Source organism: Homo sapiens, chromosome 9 (genome assembly GCF_000001405.40).
Source record: "Homo sapiens chromosome 9, GRCh38.p14 Primary Assembly".
NCBI lineage: Eukaryota > Metazoa > Chordata > Mammalia > Primates > Hominidae > Homo > Homo sapiens.
Genome location: NC_000009.12, coordinates 30610655 through 30621446, shown reverse-complemented (window position 1 = coordinate 30621446; position 10792 = coordinate 30610655).

The window sequence follows — 10792 nt, the reverse complement described above, 5'->3', positions numbered from 1 at the left end:
GCAGAGCTTAAGCAGAAATTATTGCATCTGCCTTTTTTAACCTGCCTAGTTGCTACGGGAAGGACTGGTATAAGGTGCTAGTCTTTGTCTCACTTAATTTGAAACTCACTCAAGACAGAAAAGTGGTAAGCATTGTTCAAAAACATTGAGAAGCGAACAAAGTTTCACAGCTGCATGTAGCAAAATATTACTTACATTTGAGGTATACAGTGGACTACATAAAGCCTCAGAGGAGAAGCATACAAAATCAAAACATACAAAACACAAATAGTGAAATGGAAGTAACTTTATCACTAATTACTTTAATCTCCAATCAAAAAGTAGGAATTGACAGAATGCATTATAAAATAAAATAGAAATAATCCATGTATATAATTTCTTTAAGAGACTTATTTTACATATGAAGATATATACATTGAAAGTGGAAGAATAGAAAAATAATATTCCATGTGAATGGTAACCAGAAGAGAGCTGGGGCAGCTATATAATATCAGACAACATAAACTTTCATTCAAAACTGATACAAGAGAAAGAGATGGACATTCTACAATGACAAAAGGGTCCATTCATCAACAAGACATACCAATTACAAATATACATCCAATGAACAACAGAGCCCCCAAATATATAAAGAAAGCATTGACATAGTTGATCGATGAAATAAATGGTTGTATATTGATAGACTTCAATATCTCACCTTCAATCGTGGATAGAACAACCGGACAGAAGATCAATAAGAAAATAGAGGACTTCAAGAACACTATAAACCAATTAGACCTAACATACAAACACACAACACTCTACACAATACCAGCAGAATAGACATTTTTCTCAGTGGCACATGTAACATTCTACAAGAAGGTTTGTATGGTAGGCAACAAAATAAGTTTCCATAAATTAAAAAAAGACTGAAAAAATACAAAGAATATTTTCTGACCACATAAAATGCAATTATCAATTAACAACAGGAGGAAAGCTAGGAAATTCACACATATATTGAAAGAAATTAAACACAAAAAACAATAATGTATCCAAGTAGAAACCATAGTGGAATTAGAAAACTCTTAGAGATGAGATAGAAATGAGCACAGCATGCTAAAATGTATGAGATGCTATAATGTGAGGGCTTGGAGAGAAATTTATACCATTAAATAATTAGATTAGAAAAATAAGAAAGATCTCAAATAAATCACTTAACTTTACACCTTGAGAATATAATGAAGATCAAACTAAATTCAAAACTAGCACAAAGAAGAAAACAAAAATTAGAACAGTAATATTCAACACAGTATAGAAAAACAATAAAAAGAGTTGACAAAACAAAAAGATTTTTTCCTGAAGATCAGCAAAATTGACAAAACTTTAGCTACATTAACAAAAAAAAGTAGAAAAATGAATTGCAAAAGAATAATATAGGTGGGGCACGGTGGCTCACGCCTGTAATCCCAGCATTTTGGTAGACCCAGGCGGGTGGATCACGAGGTCAGGAGTTGAAGACCAGCCTGGCCAAGATGGTGAAACCCCCTCTCTACTAAAAATACAAAAATTAGCCGGGCGTGGTGGCGGGTGCCTGTAGTCCCAGCTACTCGGGAGGCTGAGGCAAAGAATTGCTTGAACCCAGGAGGCAGAAATTGCAGTAAGCCAAGATCACGCCACTGCACTCCAGCCTGGGCGACAGAGTGAGACTCTGTCTCAAAACAAAACAAAAAACGAAGAAAAAAAATTTGTATACCATTAAATAAGATAGCCTATAGTAAATAAATAAATTCCTAGAAACATACAAATTACCTAAACTGCCTCAAGAAGGAACAGAAAATTCGAGTAGACCCACATCATGTAAATAAATTAAATTACAATTTTAAAAAAATCTCAAAAAGTCCAGTACCACATGCCTTCATTTTTGAATTCTACCAAATATTTAAAGTATAATCAACACCAACTCTTCTCAAACTCTTCAAAAATATTGAAGAGTGAAGATTTTCTAATTCATTCTATGAAGGTATCATTACCCTGATAACAAAGCCAGAAAAAGACATTACAAAACAAAATTACAGACCAATAACTCTTATGAAGATAGTTGAAAAAATCCTCATCAAAACACTACCAAACCAAATCCAACAGTAGACTAAAGGATTACACACTATGACAAAGTGGGACTTATCCCAAGAATGCTGGTGGTTCAAGGTAAGAAAATCAGTAAATGTAATACACTAATTAATAAAATGAAGAAAGAAAATATGTTATTTTTATGTGACACAGTGTAGGCATTTAGAAAAATGCAACAACATTTCATGATCACAATATTCAGAGAATTGAAAATACAAGAAAACTTCCATAACATGGTAAAAGATTTTGTGTAAAACCCACCATTGACATCTTGCCTAATGGTGACAGACTGCATTCAGTCAACATTAATTAAATGCTTATATTTCAGGAACAGGGTTAAGCAGTATTGATAAATATGACGACTAAGGTGCATATATACTAGAGGACAATAATTACGTAGCTCTTCAGAAATAAAGAAATATAAGCAAAATATGTAAATAGATATTTTATATAAATGCTCTCATTAATAAAGTGTATATGGAATTATATAACTAAAAATATGGTATCAACAAACTAAAATAAAAAAACAAAAGAAAATAGAAAGTATAAAATTAGAACATAATATAATACTAATTCAGTACAAGAGTGATTTTGCAAAGTATTATTCAGTCAATTGTATTGGAACACATATTTAATATTAGAAACAATTTATAAATGAATCTTGTGTCTGTTACTTTGCTAGAATTATTAAAATTCATGTCACTTATCTGTTTGCTTGCAAAGTTCTAAAATATTTTAAAATCTAGAATTAATAAGTCTTCATTATATTCGGCTGTAAGCATTTCTTGTCGCTGATCCATAAATGACTAAGCTGCATTTCAGCAATCCCCCTCCCACTACCACCAATACAAATTATAGAATCTCTCAATAATAATTTCCTTCCACTCATAAGACCAGCAGTTGACACCAGATTGCTCTGAGTTATCTCTTTTTGCCATGATAAGCAAAATGTGAGGTGATTAATTTGACTACTTGAGGAATATCTTATAAGTGAAATTGTGCAGTATGTGTCTTTATATTACCAGACTCCTTGGCATAAGTTTCTCAAGGTTAATCCATGTTATAGTATCTGTTTGAATTTCCTTCCTTTTTAAAGCTTAATAATATTTTATTGTATCTATATACCACATTTTTTTATCCATTCATCTGTTGATGCATACTTTGGTTGCTTCTACCTCCTGATTACTGTGAATAATGCAACTATAAACAAGAGTGTGTATAATAGCTCATTCTCATGCTGCTAGTAAAGACATACCTGAGACTGGGTAATTTATATAGAAAAATAGATTTAATGGACTCACAGTTCCACATGGCTGGGGAGGCCTCACAATTATTGTGGAAGGTGAAGGAGAAGCAAAGTCATGACTTACATGGCAGCGAACAAGCAAGACAGCTTGTGCAGGGGAACACTCATTTTTAAAGTCATCAGATCTCATGAGACATGTTCACTACCATGAGAACAACAGCATGGGGGTAACCAGCCCCATGATTCAATGACCCCCCACCAGGTATGGAAACTACAATTCTAAATGAGATTTGGGTGGGGACACAGCCAAACCATATCAGTTTGCAAATATCTCTTGGATTCTCCAAAATAGAATTGCTGGATCATATGACAATTCTATTTTTACTTTTTTGAGGAACTGCTGCACTGCTTTCCAAAGCAGTTTCATCATTTTACTTGACCACCAACAGTGCGGAAGTGTTCTATTTTCCCCATATTCTCACCAACACTTTGCTATTTTCTGTTATTTTGGTAGAGGCCATTGTAATGTGAGATGATATCTCTTTTGTGACTTTCATTTGTGTTTTCCTTAACGAATAGTGAGACAGAGCATATTTTCATTTGCTTGCTGTCAATCTGAATATCATCTTTGGAGAAATGTCTAAGTTGTTTCCATGTTTTTAATTGAATCGCTTTTTTGTTTTTGTTGTTCTTGAGTTGTAGGAGTTATTTGTATATTCTGGATATTAACTCCTTTTCAGATACATGATTTGCAAATATTTCCTCCTGTTTAGTAGGTTGCATTTTTACTCTGTTGATATAACCTCATGAATAATAGAAAAATAAGTTGAAAACACTTGAAATTTATAGATTATTAAAAAATTCCTTTCAAAATAGAAACCGAAACTCAAACCATTAAGGACTATTTCCGAAATATTCACAGAACATTGCATATATAATGGTGAATTATTGATGCCTTTTTCCTAAAGATAAACAGTCAAAGAATGGCTACTACTACCATTTCAACTAAATATTGGACTGGATGCAATAGAATTTAAAAATACTAGAAAAAAATTATTATATGAATATTATAAAAGGTGAAAAAATGAGAAAATATTATTTTTGAATATATTATTATTATTATTATTATTATTATTATTATTTTGAGATGGAGTCTCACTCTATCGCCCAGGCTGGAGTGCAGTGGTGTGGTCTCGGCTCACTGCAAGCTCCGCCTCCCGTGTTCACACCATTCTCCTGCCTCAGCCTCCCATGCAGCTGGGACTACAGACGTCCGCCACGATGCCCTGCTAATTTTTTGTATTTTTAGTAGAGATGGGGTTTCACCGTGTTAGCCAGGATGGTCTCGATCTCCTGACCTCGTGATCTTCCTGCCTCGGCCTCCCAATGTGCTGGGATTACATGCGTGAGCCACCGCGCCCGGCCTGAATATATTATTCTTTATATAGTAAAAACAAAAGAACATCAAATTTTAGAATTAATAAGTAAACTTAACAAGATTTCTGGATGCCATGTTAAAATTCATAACACTATATACATGCATACTATCAACAAATGAACAAAAGTAAATTTAAGAAGAATACTATTTATACTTGCTTCAAAACTCAAATATCACCAAGAGAATGATTTGAAGAATGTTGCCCAACCTTCTACACTGCAAACTGTACAGTATTATGAAAAAAGTCATGTAATAATCAGTGAACTATATCCTCCTTTATGACTGGCAGATTAATATTTAGAAAATTATTCTTCCCAAGTTGATGTATAGACAGATTTCAATCCCAGTTCTAACTCCATAAATGTATTTGATATTGACATGCAGAATCATTGTAGAAGTTGATAAGATAACGTTAGTCCATTCTCAGGTTGCTATGAATAAATACCTGAGACTGGGTAATTTATGAAGAAAAGAGGTTTAATTGACTCACAGTTCCAGATGGCTGGGGAGGCCTCAGGAAACTTATAATCATTGCGGAAGGTACCTCTTCACAGGGTGGTGGAGAGAACGAGTGCAAAACGAAGCAGGAAGCCACGTGTGTGTGTGTGCGCATACGCGCGTGTGTGTGACGGAGTTTTGCACTTGTTGCCCAGGCTGGAGTGCAATGGTGCGATCTCAGCTCACCACAACCTCTGCCTCCTGAGTTCAAGCGATTCTTCTCCATCAGCCTCCTGAGTAACGGGGATTACAGGCATGCACCACCACACCAGGCTAACTTTGAATTTTTAGTAGAGATGGGGCTTCTCCATGTTGGTCAGGCTGGTCTCAAACTCCCGACCTCAGGTGATCCGCCCACCTTGGCCTCCCAAAGTGCTGGGATTACAGGCGTAAGCCACTGCACCAGTCTGGGAAACCACTTTTGAAATCATCAGATCTCGTAAGAAACCACTCACTATAATGAGAACAGCATGGGGAAAACTGCCCCCATGATTCAATAATCTTCACCTAGTCCTGCCCTTGGCACGTGGGGATTATTACAATTCAAGATGGGATTTGGGTGGGGACACAGAGCCAAACCATATCAGATAATTATAAAATTTATATGGAAAAACAAATTGTCCAAAATAGTCAAAGTAAATTTAAAGAGAAGAAAATGATCTAAAAGATCTACACTATTAGAAATTAAGATATTATACATTTAAAATAATTTTACATGAAGATAATAGTTTAGAAACTTGCATGCAAGTATATTGTCTAAATAGTTTTCTAATCAAAGTGACACTGTAGTGCCTTAGGGGGAAAAAAACTCTCTTTCTAATAATTGGTTCAGGGTCAATTGGATATTAAGATAGAATAATATATTTAACTATTTTCCACATAAAATTTACATTGTAAAATGCTATATAAAATCATAAGCCTGTTTGACAAAGGTAGACACCTTTATATCTTTGATGTAGACAACAGTTTTTTAAAGAAGATGCAAAAACAGTATCCATAAGAAAAAAATCAATTAGAGAACATTAAAATTAGGACTGTCAATTCCTAAAAGATAGGTGAAACTCAAGCTGTAGAAGGAGCCACACAGGTATGTAAGACATGTTTCATATACAACCAGTTTTACAAATAAATATGTGGAAAACTAACAATAAAATATTTTGAAGATACTAAATATATTAATGGCAGCATAACCTCTCCTGGTAAGCTGCTCTTATAAAAATAGTAGCATGTATTTATGGTAATAATTGATAATGCCTTCCTAATAACAGACTGGCTTTACTTTGCTCCCTTTCTATATAACATGCTTGTGTATCAATCAAATATTCTTGATTTTATTATATTCACATTAAGACTGAGTATTTTTCCATAGAATCCCTAACATTTTCATTATACTCTATCATCATTAAAAAGTTTGAAATGAAACAACTTTAGTTTTGATAATTACTGGACTCATTTACAAAAGTTTTATATAGGAAAACAATGAAATACTTGAATTTTGGATACACTATATTTGTGGTTGTAACAACTATTTCCAATTTTAGTGAGATAGATGCATCAGAAAAATCTAGATTGTTTGCTTAGACCTTGAAAATTCCTCCAGAAATTTCCAAATATATTCAACATGGTATATTAGTTTGGGAAAACCCAAATTTACACCAACATATTACCATGATTTTATTTACTAATCCAAGTATACTATTCAATTTGTTCAACCATATCTATAAACAAACTTGCAAAAAGTGAAGATGCATAGGAACATTAATTGAACATGAACATATAGCTAAAACAAAATATAAACACTAAAAAATAAAATGCAAAACTCTTCTGATTATTAAGGCTTTTCAAGATCCCCTTAAAAGAAAACCAAACTACAAATCACGTTAAAAATCAGTATCTACTACTTTTCCCCCACAGACAATTTAGAATACAAAGATGTCTCCCACTTCTCTTTTGTCAGCTCAATTTAAACTTAATGCATTAGAATGTCTCAGAACAGTCGGTTAGCTTTTAACAGGAACAGACCTTTTATTAAAATTAGGCATAACTCCTTTAACACCTATACACCTGCAGTTAATACCTGCAGTTTTTGTGTGATTTTTCTGGTAAAATAAGTCACATTTCATGTATGTCTTTTGGCACTTCCAATAAGAAAACCACTTATGTTTTCCTAATTTTTAAAATTATAATTTGTGTAGCTACATCATAGTTGTACATAGTTATGGGGTACATGTGATATAACTACACAAGCATATAATGTGCAATGATCAAATCTGGGTAATTGGGATATCTATCATCTCAACTATTTATCATTTCACTATGTTGGGAACATTCCAAATCTAGTCTTTGAGTTAGTTTGAAATATACAGTAAATTATTAACTATAGTCACTCTATTTTGCTATTGAATACTAAATCTTACTCCTTCTATCTAACTGTATTTGTGTACCCATTAAACAACCGTTTTGTTCCCCCTACCCATTACCCTTTCCGGCCTCTAGAAACTACCATTATATTCACTACCTCCATGAGATGAATTATTTTAGCTTTGACATATGTGAGACAAGTGACGTTTGTCTTTGTGTTCCTGGCTTATTTCACCCAATATAATGTCCTTCATTTTCACCCATAATATTGTGAATGACAGTCCTTAATTATTTTTTATATTTAACAAATATACTAGTTTATAATAATGTATTAATATATTTCTTATTTTTTGTCTTTTTTACAACAGTCTTTATAACTTGGGTGAGATGACATCTCATTGTGGTTTTGATGTTCATTTTCCTGGTTATTAATGATATTGAGCAAATTATATTATACCTATTGGTTATTTGTATGTCTTATTTTGAGAAATGTCTAATCAAATCATTTGCCCATTTTAAATCAAACTATTTTTTGCTATTGAGTTGCATTCCTTGTATATTCTTGCTGTTAATCACTTGTCATTTAAATAGTTGGCAGATATTTTTTCCTGTTCTGTAGGTTATCTCTTCACTTTATGTATGGATCTGTATCCATTTTATAGAAGCCTGTAGCTAGTAGGGCCTCACAGTTCTCTTCTGCATGGAGGAAGTCCATTAACACTTGGAGAAGCAAGCTAATACAAACAGAATGCAGTGCTGAGAGAAAGAGATGAAAAATATTGACAAATTCCTAAATCTAACTCCTTCCTTCCACGTTGTTAAAACAATTAAATACATTTTTTTCTTAATCCATTTACTGCTAAATTTCTATCACTTTACATAGAATGCTAAATAATTATTAAATTCAATGTTTGATTAACTGAAATGCAAGTATCACCTTTATTCAAATGACAAGCGAGTGAATAATGCACAAGAATATTATATCCCCAATTCCACATCCCAACAATTTAGCATTTAGGAAAGATAAAACAATTTTGGGAAAAAATAGTCAGCAGAAGAGCTTATAACATAGACATTGGATTCTTTATTTTTAGATCCATATGAATACTGAATAAGATGATCAGGAATCTAGAAAACTAGAGGAGAAAGTGTGTGTGTATTGAGGGAGAGAAGTAAATAGGTTTTTGATATTGGCTCATATTATTTAGGTTAGGTTAGATTGTGCTGCAACAATTATATACACAAAAATATCAATAATTTTACTCTCCAAATATTAAAGTTTTTGCTCATTTCTTACATAAATTGGCAGTAACCAAAATTGGAAATCTGCTTCATCAGTCAGTAAAAATACAAGCTACAGATACATCACATGGTACAAGTGGTTCCAGGTCACCAGAGCAGGGAAGCAAATCTAAAGGGTCTTAAATTCAACGTACTAAAAGTGACAAATACCATTTCTGTTCACGGATCAAACCAGAAATAATTACATCTCTAATTGCAAGATAATTAGGAAACATAGAAGAGGGTATGAATATTCAGAGACTGTCATTATACATGAATAAAATGCAAATATATTTTTTAAGTCATAAATGGAAAGACTTTTTGTATGCTTTAGGGATCAATAATATTCTAGTACTTAAGCAAAAATGAATCCATGAAAAGAAATCCTGTTTTTATATAATTCAAAGACATACAATTATGTAATTATTATAATAAATTTAATTATATAATTAGCACAATAATAACTTACATAACTAGCATAATATAATAATTATGTAATTAGCTTAATTCATCAGTAACAGTTACTGTCCATATCAAAATATATCTTATGCATGTTCCCTTTTCACTAGAGTATGAAATATTTTCATTTTTTCCCATGGGTACATAAAATCACTTCTCTATCTTTTTTGTAAATACCATGTGAGAAGTTTATCACTCCTTTTTAAATATTAAAGAGAAATTAGATAAATTGATTATGACAAGAATGTAAGTAGCTAAAGGTAATTATTTTCAGTCATTTCTGATTAACAAATGTAGCTCTCACATTAATATAATAGTTTATTTTATATAATTCATAGATCTAAGATTTTATTATATAAAACTTTCAGTACTTCAGAATTTGAAATTTAAATGTTAATCATCTAAACTGTTACTTTCAGAAAGTGGGAAAACTGCAACAGATTAATTGTTCCAGAAATGTTACTCTTAAAATATGGTGGAAGAAGTATAAGGCAATTTACAGAAATCTGAAAATTCACATTATAGTTAACAATATCAACATGACAAATAATTTCTTCCCTATAAAATTATATTGCAGGCTGAGTATAGGAAAATGCATTTTAAATTGTAGATTTGGTTAGCTTATTATTTTTGACTCTCATTTATATTATTAATTTTAATGAGAAAAACACGTTTAAAGAGAAAATTAATTAGTAAATAAGATGTTAATTCACTAAATTTATTATCTACTTAAATAATCTGAATTTTTAAATGTTTTCTGTACCTGGAAAATTGAAAAAATAAAAGTATATGCTATCCGCGTGATCATATGTAATGATTAAAAACAAAATAGAGACTTTTTTCTTGAAAACTAAAAAAAGTATAGATTTAAAATGAGAATTTCTAGTGCTGAATTATAGACTTTATAGAAGATTTTCTAACTTGTCAAAATTATTTTAACAGAGGAGGACACGAAGAACCACAGAAAGGTACTGGTCTGACATTATTTGATGAGTATATTCAAAAAATATAGCATAAATTAGTACTGCTCCTCTTGCTCTTGGACAGGGATACTCACTAAAATGTAGTGTTTTTGTCTGCATTTTATAAATATTAGAAAGTAACTGTTGTTTCCTTTCCTACCTTTGTAAGTGGAACAAAATAACTGCTTCAAAATAGGCAGCTTCAAATTCCATCAGCAATCTAAATCTGTATAAAAGTTAATTTCACCATGCCACTATTATTTACTGGGAATGCTTACAGAAGTGAAAATTCACTGAATTTATTTGTGAGGGGGGTGCACATTTGGTATTCCAAAAATTACAGTTATGCAGATATAAATAATTTTGTCATATAAAATGATATAGTTGATTATATTTTTGTCCCTTGGTATTATTTTTAAATGCAGTACTAACAAAAGTCAA